Raw genomic sequence first — 26375 nt, forward strand, 5'->3', positions numbered from 1 at the left:
ATGTGCTAAAAATGTAGCCAAATGTCTACAGAATCAGGTAAGGAGCCATGCACTCTGACTCTCTTAGAATTTCCGTGCCTTTTCTCAAATACATTATTGCTGTGAGAAATGCCATCATCTTCACAGTTTGTCATATTAAAAATTATTTTTATGTTTTTCTCCCCTAATTTCTACCTCCTATTTTTTTCTGGAGTAATTTAAAGAACATCTCAGACATATATAATTTCACTTATAAATAGTTCGCTGTGTATTGCTAACAGATAAGAAGTTAAAAAAATAACCACAGTACCATTATCCCACCTAGAAAATTAATAACAATTCCTTACTATAATCAATTATAATACTCATTTTCCAGTTTTCTCAATTGTCTTAAAAAATATCTTCTTTGGCTGGGTATGGTGGCTCCTGTCTATAATCCCAGTGCTTTGGGAAGCCTGAGGCATGAAGCTTGTTTGAGGCCCGGAGTTAGAGGCCAGCCTGGGCAACATAGTGAGATCCTATCTCTAAAAAAAAAAAGGAAAATCAGCCAGGTGTGGTGGCACATGCCTGTAGTGCCATCAGGGAGCTACTCAGGGGACTGAGGGAGGAGATTCCTTGAGCCCAGGAGTTTGAGGCTGCAGTGAGCTAATGGCACCACTGCATTCCAGCCTGGGCAACAGCGCAAGACCCTGTCTCTGAAACAAACAAATAAATAAATACACGTCTTCTTAGAGTTGGTTTGCTTGAATCATGTTTCTTGTTTTAAAGTTTCATTTCTCTTCTCCTTTCTCTCTCTCCCTTCTGTCTTCTACAAATATTTACCGTATCTTTCAAAGATACATATGGGAGCTGGGTGCAGTGGCTCATGCCTATAATCCCAGCACTTTGGGAGGCTGAGGCAGGAAGATCGCTTGAGCTCAGGAGTTTGAGACCAGCCTGAGCGACGTAGTGAAACCTCATCTCTACTGAAAACCTAATAAATTAGCTAGATGTGATGGTGCCTGCTTGTAGTCCTAGCTACTTGGGAGATGGAGGCAGGAGGATTGCTTGAGCCTAAGAGCTCAAGACTGCCGTGAGCTATGATCACACCACTGCACTCCAGCCCGGGTGACAGAGGGAGACCCTGTCTTTAAAAAAATACATATGGCATGGTAAAACGAGTTAATTCCAAAGTAAATGAGAAAATATGGCAAAAGGTGAGTACAAGAAGAAAACACAGATGGAGCCAAGATTGTGGTGAGGACACAAAGGCCAGCTATAAAATTGCATGTCCCTTTTCCCTAGAAGTCATGCATTTCCTTCTGAGCTTCCTAGCAGGAACTACAAAGAGGGCCCATGTGCACCTGTGGGACTCAGAGTTGATAACACACCATAAAACTGCTCAGGAGCAGCACAACCTGAGAGATATTTTCCCGTGGATCCTGACAAAGGAAACACTGAGTAATTGACCATACCATGTTCTCCATGGTAGCCTTGAACTCTAAGAAAATAAGTTTCATAAGGACATTTTAAAAAATCATTCTGAGTATTTTAATGTTACTTCTGTTAATCAAGTATGATTAACATGAATATTTCTTAGCATGAATATTTCTTAGAGTTCAGTCATGAATCCATGCCATTTCCTGTAGCAGCTGTTGGCTGATCTTACCTAGAGAAGCTCTCCAGCTCACCCAGTCCAGTCGGACTCTCCTGAATCACCCTGCCATGCTGATCCTCCTAAGGGACCACTTTAAGCCCATTGCTCCCTTGCTCAAGGATCTTCAATAGCTCCCTATTGACTACTCTAGGGTCAAGTGCAAGTTTCTCTGCTGCAGTGATGCCTTTCACCTCATAAAGAAAGTTTTGTTCAAGAGTAACAAAAGCTTCAGAGAGACAGAAGAAAATAAGATCTTAGAAATGCCTGTGTATTTAGTGACTAGAAGATTATGGAGTAATCTTCAAGAGAGGAGTTTCTAAAAATGAGTGGGGGAAAACTAGACTTAAATTTAGTGCCATTCTATTTAGTACTTGAATGCTCTTTGCTTGTTTTATGTGGGCTTTAGTTTTGTGATTCCACTGCCTGGGTTCCAGTCTTCGGCATGCTATTATTACAACTTTGGACAAATTACCTAAGCTTACTGTGACTCAGTTTCTTCATCTGTAAAATGGGGATAATGTAATAGAACCTCTCTAGGAGGCACTGTTGAGGAGACTGAGTGAGGCACACATAGGAAGTGCTCTGTAAGAGTTAGCTGTGCATCCTCCCGGCATGAGGTCATTGCCTCTTTGCAACAAGCACAGCAATTCTTCATGTTGACTAAAGCCTGAGTCTCTTTTATTTTCAAAATATATTCTCCCACCACTTCTCAATATTATCTCTGAAAAGAATATTTTAAAAGAGTAATGCACAAGAAACAGTTGTTCACTTTAGTTCTTTCATCTTAAAAACTATAGGAACAATAGGCCAAGAGAGAATTACAACTCAATTTAACAAAAATCTTATAATAACACATACACAATTATAAACTTTAAAAGGTTTGGGGGCTCATTGACTCTTCTGAGGCATCCTTTGTTCAGTGATACTGAACAGTGAGGAACTTTTTCTGAAGTGGCCGCCTGGCTTGTTTTGAGGTGAAGTAAGAAGGTGTGATGAAGATCCCAGCTCACACCAGCAGATGACTGCTGCTGTTTCAGGGCTCTCTGATACTGTCTCAGCTATGGAGATGGCACTTTTTGGACCACACCAAAGATTCTCAAACTTTATTGTCTAAAACTCCATTTGCATTCAGCCAAGACCCATGTTTCCATGAGATCATCTCTCATTAGATCACATTATTTATGAAATCCACTTTTAGAAGAAATGGATCCAGAAGCATTTCTTGGCCACATCAGGGTCTTCAGTCGAGTGGCAGAGTCAAGACATCTGGCCTCACTCTTCCCTGTGAAACTGGCTGAAAACAACTAAAATACCTTTTGAAAATTAGAAATGAAAATATACATCAAACTTGAAAATAGCCCAGCTCCTGGTAAGTGCAGTCGGGTCAAACTTGGTTAAGGGAGGCGGCTGGAAGCAGATCCGTGCCTCTGCAGAGCTCAGGTAACATGGAGCCTGCCGGAAGTAGGCCTGTCATTCAAAGGAGGGAAGCTATTATCCTTGTGGAACAGCCAGGTTTGAGTGGGAAGGTGAGCTTTGGGGACATCCCTGAGCCTTGTGAGAGGATACAGAGCTGAATGAAGAAAGATAAAGACATGCCATCTTTGCTAAAAGGCAGCAGGGATGGGCAGGCAACTGGCCTTGCAGTTGAAGAAAAGTAAAATGCTGAATCCTTCTTTGTTTATCATCATGGCTGGCCAACTCTACTTCCTGCTGAGATGGGGAAAAAAACCACAGGATAGAGAGAAAGCCAAACTGATGGTTGACCCAGCTCACTTCCCTGCCCTCTCTGCCATAAAATATATCTCACCCATAAAGAACAGTCCACATAAAACAATGAGTAATCTCATAAAAAAGATGAGTAATAATACAAAAGAAGTTTGCATGGGACACACTGAAAATATATTGCAAGAAAAATAAATGAGAAACATGACAAAAGGCAGACTAACATTCCAGAGAATTATGCCATAATATAGATAAAAATTGTAGAGAAACATTTTTTCCATTAAGAAGGTATAAAAATGGCTTTTCTGAAGCAATAATTCAAAGAAGGGCTATATTGGCTCAAGTAAAAGGTAATTACAGAAGTGAAAGTTAACATTAGAAGAAGAAAAAGAGATACTGCTTAAAATAGGGCAGGGATAAAGAGAATATATTTGAAAATAAGAAGGAAAATAAATAGAAAATAACCAGATATTTAAAATGAACGAGAAAAGGATAGATATTGAAGACAAGAAAAGGAATTGCAGCTCCCTTATGAATGGCATTCCTAGTAGAGGAAACATCACAAATATTCAGAAATAACACATACAATATTTCCTCAAATAAATAAGACCATAGTTTGAAATGAACCCAGCTGTTTCAGAAAAAAAAAAATCAACACTGAAACATGGCCTAGTAAAGTTACTGGACTTAGAGTAAAAATCTGAGCTTAAAAACAATATCAAACAGTTATAAGAGGAAAAATTTGTTTGGTCTCAGACTTTTTTACAGCAATATTAACTGCTAGAAGATGGAGAAAAATGTTGTCATGTCCTCAGAAAATGTGTGGCCCAAGAATTTTCTACCTAGCCAAATTATTGTTTGATATTTCCAAGCATGTAATAACTCCAGGGAAAAATAACTTATGCGTTCTTTCTTTAAAAACAAACAAAACTTGAAGCTGCCAATCAAGCGATCAAGGGAGGAGCCATGGAGTAATGAGAATAAGTACTGGATTTGCAAATAGGTGAAGTAAATGGAGGAATTATGATTACAGAATAGAATATAACATAGAAATAATCATAGAAAAAGGAGCCAAAAATGAGAGGTAGAGAAAAGGAAAGAAGGCAATGTAAGCATGAGTTCCTCGTCTTTTGTAGTAATGTCTTAGATTTTCAAATCTACTGTTTAAATGAAAAACCAAGGAATAGAAGTGTTAGTGTATTATTCAAAAGTATAAAGGTAAAAGCTAGAAGCATTAATGATAATATAGTAAGCCAAAATTGGTCAGTGTAGGATAAGCAAGATGGAATAAGTGCAAGTGTAGTAATTTTCTCATCTTTCATTATGACAAGTCATCACTTACTATATAAGAAATTTTAAAATACGGTAAAATAGTACATAAAATTACAAAGATAACCACCAAAAGATCCTAGAATAGACTATAAACCTTTGGAACTATCAGAATAAAAACACACAATAAAGAAAACAAATACCATATGGGAAAATAATTGTGTGTATTTGTGTCTTTAATTTGTTTGTGAGTGTCTTTAATTTATGTGTGTATAACATTATAAAGGAAAAATATAACTAAACATAATCCGTATGATTAAATATTTCTCCTATATCCAGAAATGTAAATTTATTGAAAGAAAAAGATTCTAAGCTTGTATTGCCAAACACAATCCAAATATATGCTATACACTGGCACACATGGCTAAAAGCATGCCAGGAAAATGCAGCAAAAAGAAGTAGTTCTCCTGATATTCATATTAGTTGCTATGCTTGAATGCTTGTGTCTCCACAGAATGCATGTTTAAACCGAACCTCCAAGGTGAGGGTATTAAGAGGTGGAGCCTTTAGGAGGTGATTAGGTCATGAGGGATCCACCCGCATGAATGGAACTAATGTGCTTATGTAAGTGACTTGTAGGAGCTTTTTGTCCTCTGCCACCTGAGGATACATAGAAGTTGCCATCTATGAGGAACAGGCCCTCAGTAGACACCAAATCCACTGACGCTTTGATCTTGGCCTTCTCAGGCTCCAGGACTGGGCAGAATACATTTCTGTTGTTTATAAATTACCCAGTCTAAGGTATTTTGTTATAGTAGCTGGAACAGATTGGGACATTAGTTCAAGGTGAATTAAAGACAAAGTATTAAAGAGAAAGAAGGATATTTTTATAATAAAAAGGATATAATACATAATGAAACTAATTTTCATGAATCTTTATGTGTCAAATATCAAAGCTAAAGTTATTGGAAATATAAAGAAGACTAAGGAGGAACTTGCTGGTTGAAATGTCTTTAATTCACTTCTCTCATCCCATGATATTAAGAAAAAAAAAGTAAGAATAAACTAACCCTAAATAACATCATTAATAAGATAGATCTACCTGAAACACACAACACACACACACACACACACACACACACACACACACACACACAATCTATTTTTTCTAATTATGTCACTAAAATGAAGAAAACATCTTCTTTTTAAACTATGCAACATTTAAAAACGGCAACAAAAGAATCCTCAATAGCTCTCACAAGTTGAAAAGATGCCAAACATATTCTCTGAGACTGATGAAAAAAAGAAAACCTGTAAGTTAATGACAAAAATAGACCGAAAAAAAAAAGCTCTACACTCAGAAATTAGAAAGCCAAACACAAACAGCGTAATGTCCTGTGGAAAAAGCATGGAAGGAAGGTGTTATTCATCTCATGCCAGTGAGTTTTCACATCTCTTGCCGGGCTCTCTACTTTATTTTCTAAGATTCCCTCAGCCCGAAATTCATTTCTTCAGCATGCTATATCTAAACTGGGAATTTCCTAATACACATGTACAACTCCTCTACTGTGTTCATCTCAATTCTTTATATATATAGATGTGTAAAATTTATTTGGGATTGAATTCCATTTGCCATGTAGTATAAGAGAATAAGCTATTTTAAAATTCTTTATTTGAATTTATGTATTGGTTTATTTGAAACCACATATTCATGTACTACAGGGAGCCGATAGGAGCAGGCTGACTGAGAGGTAGACAAGGTAAGGCTATCATCATCAAGGTGGTCCTGCCATTGTACTGTCTTTGGAACCTGAGGATAAAGCTCCTGGGCTAGCCTGCCACCATTCTTGTTTGTACTTGGCTTGCCTTGGTGGTGTGCTGATGAAATTTCTGCTCTCCTTTCCATGCCCTATAACTGCAAGGACATTCTTTTCACCTCTAAGGTGCATTCTGCTTTGCCCATTCCTGCGATGTGGAGGCCTTGGGTGCTTTGAAAATACGTAACAGCCCACTCCCACATTTGGGCTGGATACATAGCAGCTGGCCCACACCACAGCCCCCTGAGAGGAGCCAGGTGTGATGAGTCTGTGTTTTTCTGATTTACTCGAGGCCTTGCCCACTCACTCCCTGGAAGGGGCTCTTGTAAATTGTGGGCAGAGCTAAAGTCTATGACCCAGAAACATTGCTGAGATAATTTTCTCCAGGGACTGTCATCTAACATTTAATAATTATCCTCTCTCCTCCTGCAGCCTGGTTTGTGCATGTACTACTCAGTTTTTATATTATATTAGTATCTTTCACCTTCATTTATATGTAAATAGTTGTTTAAAACATAACATTTAATTGAGAAAAAAGCACATGGCCATTGAAAACCACCTTGTTTCTGTATAATGTGGTTGATCCTGATTTCTTTGTCAAAAAAACACATCCTCTGACACAATTTACTGTGTTCACTACAATATTCAAAACAGGTATCAATATTTTGGGGAAGTTCTTTGCTACAGAAGCATCCTGGTAGAATATCATGTGTGATAATGGTAAGAGGGTCTACTTTCTTATAAAGCCATTGATCTTGAACTTAGTGTATCAGGGGCAGTATCAGTGCAAATTGATTCACATATGTCAAGCATTAACTTACACTTCCAAAAAAAAAAGCAGTCAGTACAGGACTGAACTCATCAGTTCCTTTGTAGTTGTTTGCGATGGTTCACAGAATAAGAATTCTTTGATCTATTTCTCCTTTAAGTACATCATAAACATGGGATGATCACCATAGCCATCAACCTCAGATGATTCCGCTGAATGCCCACGTTGAGAGGGCTGGTGTGGATCACGTCATTTTCTCAATAATTTACTGAAGGTTCTTTTCTGAATCTCCCAATGTTATTTTTTGAGAATCCCTTTCAATGCATGAGTTTTCACTAATTTTTCAACTATTAGAAGAGACTTCTTTCCCTTGCCACGCAAGACAAAGAAACTTACAACAAACACGGACATCTCAGGTGTCAAACCCAAACATTTCAAGGCATTTCTAGAAACAGTCTTATGTCCAGCTGCATAGCCTTTGTAGTTGAAGGTTGGACAGCTTTGATGGTTTGAATTTTGAAGTTTGAAAATAATGAATGGCACAGAACACATTGCAGTCTGTAGCCATTGTACAGCAACTCCTAAAGAATACATTCCTGCTCCCATTTGTGTTTCTTTAACATGGCTTACCCCCAAATATATGAATATTTCCCTGAGATGATGGAGTTTTGCTGTGTGAATGAGCCCTGGCACTGGCCATATTGCCTGTGGGAATTTTGTAATAGCAGCTAAACTTTAATTAGCAGTTTCTTTGTTCCAGGCACTGTGCTAAGAGCTTTGCAAGTGTTTTTGCATATAAACCCTCACAACAAGCCAGTGTGTATGGATTATTACTACCATCATTTTACAGAAGCAGAAATTGATGCCTAGAAGAGGTTAGAAGATTGGGTTCTTCAAATCTTACTTCCCACTAAAAGGAACCATCTATTCTTGGAGAAATGTCTAATTTCAAGTCTGGAGCAGAAAATGTACATGATGAGCATATAATACCTTATCTTACAAGATGGCAGTGGAGCTAGTAAAGACTAATAAGCTTAGGATGACCAACTTGTCCCAATTTGTCCAGTACTTTCCCTCTTTTAAAATGGGAAGTCCCATGTCACAGGAACCCCCTCATTCCCAGGCAAACTGAGACAGTGGTCATGTCAAATAATAATAAGCTCATTTCAAAAGGACACAGGAGCCAACTCTTCAATAGGCTCCCATGGGATGAAAATAAATTGAAATACATCAAATATGTAGACATCCATGAGTTCGTGATGATACTAAAAAACAAAACAAATCATGACTAATTGGTCACCGCCGGAGAGAACGAACTCTATTTTGAAAATTGATCATTCTTCTAGCCTTTCCTAAATAAACAGTACTATTGGGTATCCAGAGTGTAGGTGAGGGGAAGTTTTTTGTTTGTTTGTTTGTTTGTTTGAGATGGAGTCTCGCTCTGTCGCCCAGGCTGGAGTGCGGTGGCGCGATCTCAGCTCACTGCAAGCTCTGCCTCCTGGGTTCACGCCATTCTCCTGCCTCAGCCTCCCGAGTAGCTGGGACTACAGGCGCCCGCCACCACGCCCCGCTAATTTTTTGTATTTTTAGTAGAGACAGAGGAAGTTTGTTTTTATATATTCCAGCTAAAACATGAAGAAGGAATACAAAATTAGAATATCACCATTTTGTAGCCCCTAATGAATGTGAACATTGAACATAAACAGCTGCTAATTTCACCAAGAGAGACAAATGAATGTGCATTACCTGTTGGAAGAACTAATGTCATGTAATTTATGAAGAATTCTGGTCCAAGAAAGCCCCCCCGAAAAAGCAAAAAACCACCCTGAATCTGCATCTGGTTAACTTTTGATCCAAATACAAGAAACCCAAAAGACAGAGGGACATATTAAACACCCAGGAATGCAATCAGCAAAATAGAGTCTGCAGAAAGCTCTATAGGATGAATTATTTCTTCAGCCAATAATTGCATAGAAAAAAGATGAAAGTAGAATGTACGGATTAAAAGAGACAAGATATATCAACCAATTGCAGTTTGTGAACATTATTTGCAAAATGATTCAAACAAACGATAAAAAATCGGAAATTTATGATAATTGTAAGTTTAAACACTGATTGTATATTTTATGATGTTAAACAATTATTTTAATTTTTTAAGTGTGATAATGGTACTGTAGTTTCATTCGTTTGAAGAGAATCCTTGTGTTTTAAAGATATATACTGAAATTTTATGAATAAAATGATATATTGCACTTCAAAATAAATATGGGATGTGCTTCAAAATAGTATATGGTGGAGGTTGGGGAGTGGGTTAAGATAAGTAAAACAAGATTGGCTGAGTTAATAATTGTTGAAGTTGGGTGATAGGTACATGGAAACCCTGTACTATTGTGACTATTCATGTTCATTAAAAAAATTCTTCATAGTAAAAGAGAGAGAGAATTAGACTAAGTTTTAAATGTCACATTGCTAGAAAATGGCTGAGCCAGGATTTAAACAAAGACAATTTTAGTCTATAATTGATATTCTAGATTTTCTATACTACCTCAAAAAAAATATTGAAATGTGGATATTAAACACTGACAGAAGAGCTGAACAAAAGCAACTTCCCACTTCTCACCTCTCCAGTGCTGGTTATTTCAGAGTCCAAGATGGCAGATACAGTGAATTGACTTTTAGAAAACTGAGTTTGCTCTGCAGGCTCTGGTTGAACTGCAATAATGCCTCTTTATTTTCTTTTCTCCCACCCTCTCCTTTCTGAGTTTCCAGAGTCCATTATAAGCATACCTATACGTATAGCTCCCACTTGTAAGTGAGAACATATGGTAATTGGTTGTCCATTCCTGAGCTACTTCACTTAGAATAATAGCCTCCAGCTCCATCCAAGTTGCTGCAAAAGACATTATTTTGTTCTTTTTTATGGATGAGTAGTATTCCATGGTGTATACATACCACATTTTGTTTATCTACTCATGGGTCAATGGGGATTTAGGTAGGTCATTACCTTTGCAATGTTGAATTGTGCAGCAATAAACATGCATGTGCAGGTATCTTGTTGATACAGTGACTTATTTTCCTTTGGGCAGATACCCAGTAGTGGGATTGCTGGATTGAATGGTAGATCTACTTTTAATTCTCTAAGAAATCTTTATACTGTTTTCTGTAGAGGTTGTATTATTTTACATTCCCATCAGCAGTGTATAAGCGTTCCTTTTTCACAACATCCACACCAACATCTGTTGTTTTTTGACTTTTTAATAATGGCCATTCCTGCAGTGGTAAAGTGGTATCTCACTATGGTTTTAATTTGCATTTCCCTGATAATTAGTGATGTTGAGCATTTCTTCATGTTTCTTGGCCATTTGTATATCTTATTTTGATAAATGTCTATTCATGTCATCTGCCCACTTTTTGGTAGAATTATTTGTTTTTTTCTTGCTGATTTGTTTGAGTTCTTTGTAGATTCCAGAATTAGCCCTTTGTCAAATGCATAGTTTACAAATATTTTCTCCCATTCTGTGGGTTGTGTATTTACCCTGATGATTATTTCTTTTGCTGTGCAGAAGCTTTTTAGTTTAATTAGGTCTCATTTATTTATTTTTGTTTTTATTGCATTTGCTTTTGGGGTCTTAGTTATAATTTTTTTTGCTTAGGCCAACATCCAGAATAGTTTTTCCTGGTTTTCTTCTAGAATTTTTAGGGTTTCAGGTCTTATTTATAAGGTCTTTGATTCATCTTAAGTTGATTTTTGTATAAGTTTTATTCTTCTACATGTGGCTATCCAGGTTTCCTAGTACCATTAATTAAATAGGGTACCCTCTCTCCAGTTTATGTTTTTGTATGCTTTGTCAAAGATCAGTTGGTTTTAAGTATTTGGTTTTATTTCTGGGTTCCCTATTCTGTTCCACTGGTCTGTGTATCTACCATGCTGTCTTGGTGACCACAGCTGTGTAGTATAACTTGAAGTCAGGCAATGTGATGCCTCCAGATGTATTCTTTTTGCTTAAGATTGCTTTGGCTGTTTGGGTCCTTTTTTGGTTCCATATGAATTTTAGGTTGTCAATATCCTCAATAAAATACTAGCAAACTGGATCCAATAGCACATCAAAAAGATAATACAAGTGTGTTTCATCCCAGGGATGCAGAGATGATTTAACATATGTGAGTCAATAAATGTGATACATGACATAAAGAGAATTAAAAATAAAAACCATATGATCATCTCCATAGATGCAGAAAAAGCATCTGATAAAATCCAACATCGCTTTATGATAAAAACTCTCAACAAACTAGGCATAGAAAGAACATACCTCAAAATAATAAAAGCCATATATGACAAACCCACGGCCAACATCATACTGAATAGGGAAAAGTTGAAAGCATTCCCCCTGAGAACTAGAACAAGACAGGGATGTCCACTTCTATTCAACATAGTACTGGAAGTTCTAGCAAGAGCAATCAGGCAAGAGAAATAAATAAAGGGCATCCAAATTGGAAAAGAGGAAGTCAAACTATCATTGTTCACTGATTATATGATCATATATCCAGAAAATCCTAAAAATAAAATATCTAGGAATATACTTAACCAAGGAGGTGAAGGATTGCTACAAGGAGAACTACAAAACACTGCTGAAAGAAATCATAGATGACACACACAAATGGAAACACATCCCAAGCTCAAGGATTGGATGAATCAATATCCTGAAAATGACCACATTGCCCAAAGCAATCTACAGATTCAATGCAATTCCTGTAAAAATACCAACATCATTTTTCTTAAAATTACAAAAAACAAACCCATTTTAGCTCATAATTTTTGAGGTTCAGGAATCCAGAAGCCGTTTAGCTGGGTAGGTCTGACTCATGGTCTATAAGGAGGTTACAATCAAGATTTTGGTCAGAACTTCAGGCATGGAAGCTGGCTTCCCGCAGACTGAGTGACGCAAGAATGAATGAGAGGCAGTGATCTGAGACAGTGCTGAGGTTGTTTATAATCTAATCTTGAACATGTCATCCCATCACTTCTCTCTTTCTTTTTTTTTTTTTTTTTTTTTTGTTGTTGTTGTTGTTAGAAGGGAGTCATGAGATCCAGTCCTACTCAAGGGGCATTACATAAGGGAATGAATACCAGGAAGTGGGGATCACTCAGTACCATCTTGGTACCTACTACACATGGATATGCCCAACACTGCCTGGGCCAAAAAAAAAAAAAGGCTGGGCCTGAAACCCTTGCTCCATGACAGGGCTGCCTGGGGAGTTTTCTGATGACATGGAGAGTTCCAGTAAAGAGAGTACATTTCAAAAAGAGAACCATAAGAAGCAGATCTAACACCAAATTGCTATAATCAGTCTGACACAGATAATGAGCAGAAAAAGTTAGAAAGGGGGCTATACTTAATGCCCATGAGCAGCGTAGCTCTGGCTTGTTTAAACTCAGTGATCACTCAGCAAATGATGCTAAATTTTCAGATGCTTTTGTTTAGAAAACAGCCCCACCCCAAAAGACAATGAGGTGGGGTGTCCTTAGAGACTATCCATGTTTCCATGTTTTATGGATTTCTCACAGAGAGACAGCTATCACAGAAAATATTCAAAGGACCTGCATCATACTGTGGTCAGCTGCCTCTGCATTCACTGGGAATTTGTTAGTAAATACGTGAAAACGATTTTGTTTTTAAAACTTTATAGCCTTCTCAAACTATCTCTACAGTAGTACTTATATTTATTGTAAGACCAGTAACAGAAGATATTTTGAAAAGAACACTTCTGCCTTCTGAAGTCTTTAAATTCATGACCAAAACCAACAATGCACAAAAAAGGAAATACATGTGGCTGGTACTATGCAGGGTCAGTGGGCAGCAGGTCTGCCTTACCTGCAAGGGCCTTGGGAAGGAATGGTAAATAAAGTTTCCCATTGGGAAAGAACAGGCACTCTCACGCATTGCTGGTAGGAGGGTACATTTACAACCTCCATGGAGGTCAATTTGGCAATATACATAAAAATTACAACATGCTTTCACCCTTTGACCCAAACATTCCACTTGTAGGAATTTATCTTAAGAATTCATTTTCACACATGTGAAAGGTTGTATGCATAAAGTTATTCAATGCAACACTACTTGTAGTGGCAAAAGACTTGGAATAATCTAAATATCAGTGGAGGAATGGTACAAAAATTATGGTGTATCTTCATAATATAAAATTATACAGCTATAAAAATGTATGAAGCTGTCCACACAAAAACCTGCACACAAATATTTATAACAGCTTTATTCATAATTGCCACAACTTGGAAGAACCAAAATGTTTAACAGTAGGTGAACAGGTCAATAAACTGTGGTACATCAGATGATATTATTCAGCACCAAAAAGAAATGAGCTATCAAAACACAGAGGAAACCTAAATGCATATTGCTAAGTGAAAGAAGCCAATTTGGAAAGGCCATATACTGTATGACTCCAACTATATGACATTCTGGAAAAGGTAAAACTATGGACACAGCAAAAAGATCGGTGGTTGCCAGGAATTAAAGGAGAGGAAGGGACGAATAGGCAGACCACAGAAAAGTTTTAGGGCAGTGAAGCTGTCTTGCATGATACCATAATGGTGGACAAATGCCATTATACATTAGTCCCAACCCACACGTGTACACCAAGAGACAACGCTAATGCAAACTATGGACTGTGGATGATAAGGAAGAGTCCATGTAGGTTCATAAGTTGTTACAAATGTACCACCCTCGTGGGGGATGTTGATGGTGGGAGGGGTTGTTCCCGTGAGGGAGCAGGGGCATCTGGGCTTTCTGCTCAATTTTGTTGTGAACCTAAAACTGTTCTAAAATATACAGTCTATTTTTTTAAAAAAGTATGAGAAATCTTTTTGTGTAGTAACATGGAACATCTCCAAAAACAGGTTGTTAAGTAACAGAAACAAGGTCTCTCCTGTGAGATTATTCAGTGGAAAGAGAATTTTGCAAAGCAGTGTATCAACCTTTTTCAGGTAGCTCAGTAGTATGAGGAAGTATTGGACTAATTTCCCTTTCCTACTATTCTTTTTATATATATATATATATATTTATTTATTTATTATACTTTAAGTTCTAGGGTACATGTGCACAACGTGCAGGTTTTTAACATATGTATACATGTGCCATGATGGTGTGCTGCACCCATTAACTTGTCATTTAAGTAAGGTATATCTCCTAATGCTATCCCTCCCCCCTCCCCCACCCCATGACAGGCCCTGGTGTGTGATGTTCCCCATCCTGTGTCTAAGTGTTCTCATTGTTCAGTTCCCACCTATGAGTGAGAACATGCCGTGTTTGGTTTTCTGTCCTTGCAATAGTTTGCTCAGAATGATGGTTTTCAGCTTCATGCATGTCCCTACAAAGGACCTGAACTCATCCTTTTTTACGGCTGCGTAGTATTCCATGGTGTATATGTGCTGCATTTTCTTAATCCAGTCTATCATTGATGGACATTTGGGTTGGTTCCAAATCTTTGTTATTGTGAATAGTGCCACAATAAACATACATGTCCATGTGTCTTTATAGCAGCATGATTTATAATCCTTTGGGTATATACCCAATAATGGGATGGCTGGGTTTAATGGTATTTCTAGTTCTAGATCCTTGAGGAATTGCCACACTGTCTTCCACAATGGTTGAACTAGTTTACAGTCCCACCAACAGTATAAAAGTGTTCCTATTTCTCCACATCCTCTCCAGCACCTGTTGTTTCCTGACTTTTTAATGATCGCCTTTCCTAGTATTCTAAAGGATTTGAGGGGAAAGACTGGCACTCACAGTATAACTGTGTATTTTAATTTTTATTGTTTATTTATTATTGAGACAGAGGACTCCCACATACCAGCAGGCTGGAATGCAGTGGCATGATCATGGCTCACTGCAGCCTCAAATTCCCAGGCTTAAGTGATCCTCCCACCTCAGCCTCCCAAGGAGCTGGGACTATAGGCACCACCATGCCCAGCTAATTAATCTTTTATTGTTTTTAGAGATGGGGTCTTGCTATGTTGTCCAGGATGGTCTGAAACTCCTGGGCTCAAGTGATCCTCCAGTATCAGCCTCCCAAAGTGCTGGATTACAGGCATGAAACTCTGTGCCTGGCCTTATTTTTAAAATATTGCTTGGCTCCCAGGAATATCAGTGGCAGCATCTGGTGAGGAGTGCAGATGTCACAATTTTAGAGGGCTTCCATGGGTTGCCCAGAATCAGGTTGCAGTCCCAAAGTACATCCAAATTGGCCAGTTTATCTTGACTCCAAAGCAAACAGTTCATTAATCATAGTGTAACCCCTTCTCACCCTATCTCTCTATTGCCTGCCTGTAAGGAAAGTTACGTATTTATTTACTGAACAAAACAAAACTCTTGCTTCCAGCTGGTGGGAAAAAAGGTCAAATTGCCAAGCCGTGATGTAATTAAAGGGCTAATGGTAAATAACTTGGAGGTCATGTCTACGGTATAGCACTATTTGGAAGAACAGTGGAGTGTTAAGCAGTTAGAATGCCTTTGATGACATTGAGATGGAAAGAATGTAAGCATATTGGCAAAGTTCACTGTACAGGGGCTGCTTTTGGCCATCACCTCAGAGGGTCCAAACAGGCCTGAAATCGATAGGAACTCAGATCTGGTGCCATTTAAGAAAAGAAAAAAGAGGGGGAGGTAGAAGAATGGATCTGTTGTTTTTGGAAGACATGGGCAGAAACCGCCAAATTCTGATGCTTGGTTTTAGGAGCGAAATTATAAAAAGCTGAAGTGACCTAACCCAGGAGGCGAAGAACATATTGCCACTGGCTCTGATGGCCTGCAAAATTCTTTCTAGATGCCTGACTTCATGGAAGGGGGAAGAGGAAAGCAGGAAGGAAACATAGGGAGTGACAGCAACAGAAATTCATGGGGGAAAGCACTTTATACTTCCTCAGAAGATATCATGTTATTGCAGTTCTCACCAAAATTTTATTGGAGACTATTTATTTTTCCAAAACAATATATATACAACTTTTAATGATGTGTGATTGCACATCAGAGTAGCGAAAGCAATTCATTCACTTTTTACTGAGTTCCCTACGTCGGGTGCTGAGGTGCAAGGATACAAATGACAAACCCACACAGAGGACCAGCAGCAAGGCCCCTATAAAATATGGTTTCTCTGAGCATATGCAAGCTGGCCAGGGATGGGTCTGCCAGGACCTCATCTGTTCAAGGCCAGGACCAGTCACTTGGGATATAGAGACTGGATGTACCAGGGCCAACCAGGGGCCAGAGTAGCCAGGTGTCTGGCCTTGGACCAGACAGTCTGGTATTTGAGCTAATTTTCCCTGGAAGAAAAATGGGAAAATACTAGCCATGTTAATGTTGAGTATTTTTACATTGGTCAGCTTTATTTTTATCATGTTATGAAATGCTTGTCCCCAAGAATTCTCCATCATTCTTTAGGTGCGTGGTATGCGCTGCTGCTGCACCAATTTGATGCCCTCATGCCAAGAAGCCTGCATTTTGATTTTCGTGGGCCTTAGGCAGTTTTACCTTTGCGGACCCCTTTAAAAAATTAAAAATTAAATTTCAAAATATTTCAAAAATTTACTTTTTAGAATTGTATTTTATGACAGTATTGGTGTATAGATGAATATATTCATATTAAATATAAAAACCTTTTCTTTGACCTAATAGTTCATTTTTTCCTTCTGATTTTAAAAGAAGTTAGGACATTTTTGTAGGCCCCTAAAGGACGGTGGCCCTAGTACTATGCTTGTGGTGCCTCATGGATGAATTGGTCCCAGATGCCACTTAAGCCTCACTGTCAAAGTGACACCTCCACTAGAGAAGGCAGTAGACGGGCAGAGCTCTGAATTCGCTGTGGCATCATATGCTGACCAGCTGGCATTAGAGATGCCAAATTTTTTTTTTGTAGACATGTATTCATGGCAGTTTTTTTTCTTATTTCTTGTAGCAGCTTAGGACTTGTCAACCCACTGCTTGTTCTGTGTTCCACACTGGTATTCAAAGATGTGAAAGCAAGAAGAAGGCTAGGATGAGCAACACAACAGAATAACTCAAGCAACAGAGCAATTCTGAAACACAAGGAAAAAGGACTTACTCATACTTCCCTCATGGATTATCTGAGAATTGAATGAAAACAATCAGTAATGTATTCAATTCATAACAAATGTCACCAGTGAAAAGAACAGAGAACTGACAAAAGCTAAAACTACACAAAGTGAGATTTGCTCATGCATTAATGTAAACAGGAAAAAATAAAATCCTGGAGAATTTTAGATCTGCAAAATTTGATACAAGAAAGTTGGATTTTGTAAGAGTAAAATAAAAAGATACAGAACAAAATTCACACTGACAAAACTACAAAATATGACAAATCAGTAATCTAAATCTTGAAAAGGTGAAAAGATAAAATGACAAATCATACTAATTCAAATAACTTTTCAAACACAAATACAAGACAGAAAAACATAACCAGGCCAGATGTGGTGGCTCAGGCCTGTAATCCCAGCACTTTGGAAGGCCAAGGCAGGCAGATCACCTGAGGTCAGGAGTTCAAGACCAGCCTGGCCAACATGGTGAAACCCTATCTTTACTAAAAATGCAAAAATTAGCCAGGCGTGGTGGTAATTGCCTGTAATCCCAGCTGCTTGGGAGGCTGAGGCAAGAGAATAACCTGAACCCAGGAGGCAGAGGTTGCAGTGAGCCAAGATTGTGCCACTGCACTGCAGCCTGAGCGACAGAGTGAGACTCCATCTAGATAAAAAAACAAAAAACAAAAAACATAACCACATCGTATAGAAAATGGGCCATATAATTAAAGTATGGGTAGTAAAATTCACTTGGAAAAATTAATCAATGTGCATAAAATCCTAGTGAAAATGGTGGTCATAACATGTACCTAATATATCCTTATAATTAAAATGATAGAATTAATAAAAATTCTGAGTTAAAATTGTATAAAGAGATATTGCATGTCCTGAAAGTCAGTGCAGTTACAAGTTATTAAAGTAATTTAGTTTTAAAGCCTAGTTTTCTGAAATACAGGTTTAAAATTTTAATTTAGGTATCCGTGTACATTTACCATCACTACTGCATAGGAATAGTCTTGAAGGATAGCCCCTAACAGATACCAGAGGTTGCCTCTGGGGAGGGATGTAGATCCACGTGAGATAAAGGTTATGAAGGAAGAATTTTCGTTTTATATTTTGTATAAGGTATTATTCATCCCACCAGACAGCTAGTACCAAAAAGAGGCATATTCTATCTTTTTAATCAATCTCTTGTTGCCCTGCACATGGCTGTTCCTGCTTTTCCACCCAGCAGTATCTTGTGTCTTCATCACTTCCCTTCAATGCTTTACAAACTTACTCTCCTTCATTTTCTGAAGTTGCAGTCAGCTTCCCATTGGTGCTGTCTTTCCCCTTCCTCATATGAGAGCATCCATTTTGATTTACAGCTGGAACAATATATACATCTCTGTGTAATAAATAGGACAAGAATTATCCCAACTTACAGATGGGCGAGTGCTTCAAGTAGGCAACTTCCTAAGTGGGCAAGTTTAGAATACGTCTTTCAAGGTTATCCAAGGTTGTCCAAGTAAGTTCACAACCACATTCCCAGCTCAGAGGTCCCTTTATGGAGATTACACTTCTGAGCCTTTAACCTTGTAGGCATTAGCACAATGTTCTACTTAAAAGAAGACAGATCCTAGGTCTACCCCCAGATCAAACACCTGCAATAGGTTTCCATTGCCTCATTAAAACAGTCCAACTACAGATATGTAGGGAAAATGGGGACTTAGAATCAGAAGAATTTGGAGAAAATTATTCATGTTGCAAAACTCATTGTTTTCTAAAGAATTCCTTTACATCTTCAACTTCCTGTTGAAGCTATGTGATTATTTTGTGGTTCACTAATTATAAAAGTATAATGTAGTCAGAGATGACAGAGAGAGTAAAGAGAACACAATCCTTTCCCATTTTTAATATTTGAAGTTTATTTTTAGTGTGTGTGTGTGTGTGTGTGTGTGTGTGTGTGTGTAAAATAGAGATGGGGTCTTGCTATGTGCTCAGGGTGGTCTCAAACTCCTGGCCTCAAGTGATCCTCCTGCCTCAACCTCCTGAGCATCTGGGATTACAGGTATAAGCCACAGTGCCCAGCTTCCTTTCCTGTTTCTGAAGATGATGTGGAAGAAGTCGGCCTCTAAATGAAATGAAACGCCAATGCTCTAAGACTTAAGACTGCCAGGAAGTCTCATAGCTCTGCAGTCTAGAGACCAGCTGGTCCAGCACCCACTCTGCCTTCCACTCTGCTTTTTCTCCACACCCTGGTCACTTCCATGGAACCTCCTTAAGTGTGCTGGTCAGGCCCTGGAGTGGGTGACAGAATGCTGGATGATGAGTCTGTGCCTAAATCCATGTTTAGCTGGTGGAGTTGCCAGCTCCTTTCAGTCTAGGAAAAGTCAAAAGCCACTTTGGGTTAGATACCTTCTGTTCTTCATGAGTCCCTTGGCTGAACCTTCTCAGTTGAGCAAGTGCAAGGTGAGCACACGCTGTTTGCCCTTTTCTGTCACCTGTCTTAGTTCCTTGCCCTTTTCCATCACCTTAGTTTTCTGTTAGTACACAAAGCTCAGAGACGAAGTGAAGAAGTTTGCAGAAAGAGTTCTGAAGTCTTGTGAGGGAAAAGATTCTAGACCCCCAGCCATTCCTTCTCTGCATTTGGAGTTTGGGAAACCTGTCCTGGTAGAGCAGAGTTGCCCCATCTGATAATTCTATATGTTCAAGTGAGAGAGTATCTAGAGCAGCAGTCTCCAGCCTTTTTGGCACCAGGGGCCAGTTTCGTGGAAGGCAATTTTTCCATGGACCCGGGGTGGGGAGATGGTTTCAGGATGATTCAAGTGCATTCTGGTTTATTGTACACTTTATTTCCATTATTATTACATTGTGATATATAATGAAACAATTATACAATCTGACATAATGTAGAATCAGTGGGAGCCCTGAGCTTGTTTTCCTGCAACTAGGTGGTCCCATGTCGGGGTGATGGGAGACAGTGACAGATCATCAGGCATTAGACTCTCATGAGGAGCATGCAACCGAGATCCCTCGCATACACAGTTCACAATAGGGTTTGCACTCCTATGAGAATCTAATGCTGCCTGCTGATCTGACAGGAGTCAGGGCTCAGGTGGTAATGCAAGCTATGAGGAGCAGCTGTAAATACAGATGAAGCTTCTCTCACTCACCTGTCACTCACCTCCTGCTGTGTGGCCCAGTTCCTAACAGGCCACAGACCAGTACCAGTCTGTGGCCCTGGGGTTGGGGGCTCCTGGTCTGGAGAGTATAGAGTAAACTCTAACAGGAGTGCAGAGGCTGACCATGGCACTTTGGGATGCTGTGGGGTGGAGAGCCTTGCTTTTACCTCAAAATATAAAATTGTATGCCCCAGTTAATCTGAGTAGGAATAATATCATTGGCTCCCTTTAGCATAGCTGTGATAGGCTGAGAGCACTCTCAGAATTTAATTAATTCTCAAGGAAAATCAATGGGGGAGAAACACAGATATATAAGATAGGATTCAATTTCCAAAGATTACCTTCTGATCTGGTCACATCAGGTGCTTCCAGGCCTTAAAGGCCTTATCATCTTTTCAAAGTCACATTGTCTTGACATGCCTGTATCCTATCCCGCATCGCTATAATTTTGTGGAACCTCATCTGTGACTCTACTTCCTAAGTCTGAGCATGTTTATGACTAGAGAGTACCAGGTTAACAGCAATTTTTCAAGAGCTATCTCAGAAACAACTGGAAGCTTCTGAAATCAGGGCAAAGAAATTCCAGTTCCCCATTGTCCTCCACCTAGGGCTCTCCTTCTGAGTTCAGTTTTCATATGACTCTTTCCCAGGTGTCTTTTTAATTACCGTAACGTTCATATAACAAGACTTCTGCCCTGAAAAGATCCTTAGAGTCTGTCAATTCCAATCTGTTCCCTTTACAGAAGAAGAAATGTTACAGAGAGATAGAGATAAGAGAAAATGCAGTGAAGAATCCATACCCTTTTGTATCTTTAGGGCAAAGCATTACAGCAAACATAGGGAAATGAATAGAAAATTATAGACACTTTGGAGATGTCATAGTCTAGAATGAAAATTCCATGAGCCATCTGGCCTCTTCATTGCTGTGTCTCTTGTTCCTCTCTCATGCTAGAAACTCAAGACATTTTGTATTATTGAAACTGTGACCCAAACAGTTAAAGAAACCAGTGACTAGATAAGAAAAGAAAAAACTTGCTGAAATGCGGAAACTCCCTCTGCTTGCAACATAACAAACCTAGCTGAAATCAGTTGGAACCAATATGGCCAAATGGAGTCAGTGCAGAACGAGCTTGCTGATGTCACAACCCAAATTTCCACTGCATGTTTCACACTAACTTCCCCCAAATTTGCAACATGTGACCCATGAGGAAGCGTGCAGAGATAACTGTGTGTGCCAAGGATTTTCTGGATCTCCCCTTTCCTTCCACCAATCACCAGTTAATCTCAGAATCCACCCCTAACCCTTTTCTAATAAAAATACTGCCTTAAAGTCAGCACAAGGAGACAGATTTGAGCTGAACTTCTGTCCCCTTGTTGGTCGACCTACAATAAAAAGCTTTTATTTTCTCAAAACCCCAGTGTCATAGTATTGGTTTCTAGCACTTCAGGCAGCAAGGCCTTTTGCTTGGTAACAATATGAATAAATGTCAAACTTTGTTTAAGTAAATTACCCACATAGATACCTAATTGTGGAGACAAGCAGAATGAGTATGTAAATTACCCTGGCCTGAGAGCTTTCTCTGGGTTGCCTGGCAACCAAGGTAGCCTGAAAGCCCCACCTCTCCTAGGAGAGGCTACAAGTTCTCATAGGACCAGGGACATTCCTTTCTCCAGTGGGAGTGGCTGTCTCAAACTAACTTCCCACAGGTTTAGGACCCCTAAAGCCTCCAGGTGCTGAGCCTCTGGCATTTCCTAGCAATCCCCTAAACAGCTAGAACCTAAGCTCAGGCAGCTTAGTAGCTGAGCCCAAAATATTGATTTTCTCAGACTGCTCTCACACCAAGAGGCTGTAATTCAGAGACAGACCCCACTCCTATAACGATGGAAAACAACAGGAAGTGGGATGTCTCCCTTGCCGCAAGGCCCCTCAGTGTGTTTGTCGCTGCTCTGGCCATAGTCCGCCTCTCTGGGGATGCCAACACAAGAAAGGACACATCACCTGCGGACCTATTTGTGAGTTTCAGTCTGCTCGCTGCTGGTTACCCACCCCTTGCACCAATTCACAACACCACGAGTTAGAATAGAATCATTGTCATGTTTAGAACCTGAAGCTATTCTCATTGTACCAATGTGGTAACTGAGGACCAAATAAATTGAGTGCCGGTCGTAAGTCATGTGGTAACTAATGACAATCAGGAGTATATCCCAAGCCTCCTGGGTGCTTCCTCAGATCAGTTATTTGGTCACTTAGGGTGAAAAAGGGTGATTAATGCATGTATTAGGGCTTATGGGGTGGAAGGACCTAGACATAAGCTTTTGGAACTGCAATAGCCCTCCCATAGATCATGGGAAGTCTATTACCCTCCCAAGGATTTCTGCAAACTCCTTATGGGCTGTATTTTCAGAATAATCTTCAGTATCCATTTCTGCTGATTAGATCTGTTTCTGCTGATTAGAGAACTCGGTATTCAAATTTCCAGTGGTCTCATAAATACAATTTTTAAAGTTCAGTTTCTTTGAAACGGGATTCAAATAAACCAAACTTTAAAAATTATATTTGTGAGATCACTGGAAATCTTGTGACTAGTGGATATGTTCCTAAGTCTTTATTAATTAATAAGTTCTATTTCCACCTCTTGTTATGTAGTCCTTTCAATTTATCTGTTGAATAAGCCAAGGTTTCCCACAGTTTGGATTTTGTCAATTGTATCCTTGTGGCATTAATTAATATGGTTCTCTGTTAATTCATTAGGGATTTTTTAAATGGTGTTAGTCTATGTTACTTCTTCATTTATTAGCCAGAATAATAACTTCTATAAAGAGAAACTTTCCCTGATTGACCGTTATGTTATTCAGAGCTGTTTCTAATGGGGAAGACAGGATAGGTGCTTGATTCTCTCCCTTAATTTGTCTGTTTTCAATAATGAAAAATATTTGAAGATAACTACTGAGTTTTTTTAAAAAAATTATGAAGTCATGAATTTAAATATATTTTGCATCTTTTAGCTAATTGCAGTCTTTGTGCTATTTTTTTTTTTTTTTTGAGATGGAGTCTTGCTCTGTTGCCCAGGCTGGAGTGCAGTGGCATGATCTCGGCTCACTGCAAGCTCCGCCTGCCAGGTTCACGCCATTCTCCTGCCTCAGCCTCCCGAATAGCTGGGACCACAGGCACCCGCCACCACGCCAGGCTAATTTTTTTGTATTTTTAGTAGAGACGGGGTTTCACTGTGTTAGCCAGGATGATCTCGATCTCCTGACCTCGTGATCCACCCACCTCGGCCTCCCAAAGTGCTGGGATTACAGGCGTGAGCCACTGCGCCCGGCCGTCTTTGTTCTTTTGAATGCATAAATGTCACATCTTTGGCCAGTGGGAGCCTATTTGAGTTGGCTTTTGAATCATTTGATTCATCTTGTGTATTTCAGATCTAGAATCATATTTCTCTTGAGAATCTTGGTTTCTTTTACTGAAAAATGGTATGTGGGCCACAGTCTAGAAACTGGGAGCATTCATTGTTACTAGGTTGTTCATTGTTTCTTGGGATTTTTTTTAGCATGAAATATATTGAGAGTTCATATTGAGACTTCCAGTGCAAATTTAGTTCTGTAGAGTCTTATTTTTTTTATCTTCCATCTATATCTCCTTTCTCTGTGCTAAGTATCTAAGTTTTCTATGACAGTGGGATTGATGGAATTAGAATATCATATAATTACCCACCCATTTTTTCTATCTTACCATGTCTCTGAAACAGTTTTAGAATAACAATACCAAAACTACTACCAACACTATGATTTCTGAAAACAGTTTAAGATTTTCTTTTCTTTTTTTTTTTTTGTAGTTGTTTTGACTGTAGGATATATCCCAATTACCGATTTTTTTTTTTTTTTTCAGAGACAGAGGCTCACTGTCATCCAAGCTGGAGTGCAGTGGCAAGAACATACCAGTTACTGAATTTTAAAATCACTTGAAATAGTTCTTTTATTTTGAGTCAAGTTGGCAACCAAGGTAGGCTTGACCACAAAGAAAAGAATTATTCCAAGTGACAACATTTAGATTTAAGCTCAGAGGCTCCATTTTATTTTCTATGCTTTGGGATTGCTTTTTATAAATTTTTTATTTTGCTTTATAGAATTATGAGAAATTAATGGATAAAAATCTTTACATGTAGAAATGCTAAGTTACTCCTGTGATATCTAAAAGTCTGATAATGCCCAAAAGGATGATTACATGCTGGAAAATTCTTCCTATTTTGAGAACACATGTTGAACATGTGATAGATGCAAAGATCCAATTGATTATTTCTCTTTGTGTATATGATGTTGCCCTGATTGCCCTCAAACTGTTTTACATTAGAGAGGTTTGCTTTCTATAACAGACATACCAGATCCCTTGAAGGGGTAGGGTATCATTGATGTTGTGCCATCAAAAGACATATGCCTAATGGGGAAGAGAGTGAATGAGGGCACACAGTGGTGAGAACCTGTCATGTGTGCTAGATATCATTAAAGTCTCACAATTGAATATTTTAAAAAAAGTAAATACTGCATTCTGCTCCATAATAATATGCATATTATATAAAGATAAAAAATTGCTTTTTAAATAACTTGCCATCACAAAAATGGGCACAACAGGAAGCTGCATCATGTTTGAGGTGCAGCTTTCAGTCCTTTATGACATAGCACTTAATATCCCTCAGTTAGGAGACATACGCAGTGGGCTATCAGGACTGCTTCATCACATAGTGCTCTAACATATTTCTGGAATAACTTGAAAGCATTTCTGAATAATTTAAATTATCTTTCATTTTCAAATTGATTCAGAAGATCTCCTTTTTCCTGTCATTTGGAAACATCTTGAATTTGGAATCTTGCGTCGAGTTTGATAGGGGCTGGGTGGGAGAAGGGCAGACAAGAAGAAGAAAGTGTATCTTTCCTGCCCTCAACTTTCCTGGAAGCTTTTCTTGGTCTGTTTATTGCTGTCTTGGAGTTCAGGCAGCCCTGACCTTATGAACATAGTTAGAACCTGTAGCGTCAGTCATCCATGGTGTCATTTGTGGCAGAAAAAAATATAGGATGACTTGCCTTTACAATTTATTAATAATGGCTGCTAGCTTTGTGCTTACTTTTTAAAATGTTCTCTACCTCCCTTGTCCTCAAATCACACCTTCTTTTCCTGATCCTATATTCTTTTATCTAAAATTATTTTTTCTCTTGAAATTAGAACTTATTTTTTTAATACCTTCCTTCTTAACCTATGTGATTTCTTTTCTTTCCAAACCACCTATTAGCTGGGTGGAGGAGCTTCTTGAGGTCAGATTCTATTTCACAGGTAAACACATATCTAAGCTCTGTTAGCTCAGTTCGAGTGGAATCTCAACCTTTGAAGCTGAAAGAAACATGGATATCTTCTAGGCCAGTGGTCTCCTGGCTGCATTTCAAACAACAGGTCTCCTCAGAGAAAGCAGAGGCCACCACAGAATGAAAAAAGGCAGTTGAATAGGCTTCTTTTTACCTCTTACAGGGCAGTTCTGGTTTTATCTGCCTTAAATTTGGAGATTCCTTTCCTCCAATACTTAATCTTTTTTTTCTTAAAATAAAATTTCACAATAATAGACAGTTTGAGGGTTACTGATTCTAGACCAGTTATCTAATTTTCAGACAAGAAACGTGAAGCTCAATTTACCAAATTGTCCAGGTCACACAGTCAATTATAGAACGCAGACTTGACCAAGATCTTTTGACTTCCCCACTTACTATGCCTTCTATGACCTCCTATTTCTATAAGACAACAGAAATCAACATCAACAATGAAAAGCTTTTTATTTATTTTAAAAATCTATTGTTCTTTTATCTTGTTGCTTGAAGGGCACAATGAATGTCAGGCAGAATTGAGACAAACAAGAGAAAATTGCCT

The 26375-nt window shown here is 38.7% G+C and overlaps 3 annotated features.

Annotated features, from left to right (window-relative positions):
• Nucleotides 21362–21561: an enhancer, noted in NCBI's record as "active region_7762". NCBI's record gives its function as "activates an Ori minimal core promoter by ATAC-STARR-seq in GM12878 lymphoblastoid cells {active_cell/tissue: GM12878}" and the evidence as "EXISTENCE:reporter gene assay evidence [ECO:0000049][PMID:35858748]".
• Nucleotides 21958–22252: a silencer, noted in NCBI's record as "tiled region #8262; HepG2 Repressive non-DNase unmatched - State 23:Low". NCBI's record gives its function as "represses a minimal TATA promoter and a strong SV40 promoter by Sharpr-MPRA in HepG2 cells {active_cell/tissue: HepG2}" and the evidence as "EXISTENCE:reporter gene assay evidence [ECO:0000049][PMID:27701403]".
• Nucleotides 21958–22252: an enhancer, noted in NCBI's record as "tiled region #8262; K562 Activating non-DNase unmatched - State 24:Quies". NCBI's record gives its function as "activates a minimal TATA promoter and a strong SV40 promoter by Sharpr-MPRA in K562 cells {active_cell/tissue: K562}" and the evidence as "EXISTENCE:reporter gene assay evidence [ECO:0000049][PMID:27701403]".

This window comes from Homo sapiens, chromosome 13 (genome assembly GCF_000001405.40).
Source record: "Homo sapiens chromosome 13, GRCh38.p14 Primary Assembly".
In the NCBI taxonomy this organism is placed as follows: Eukaryota; Metazoa; Chordata; class Mammalia; order Primates; family Hominidae; genus Homo; species Homo sapiens.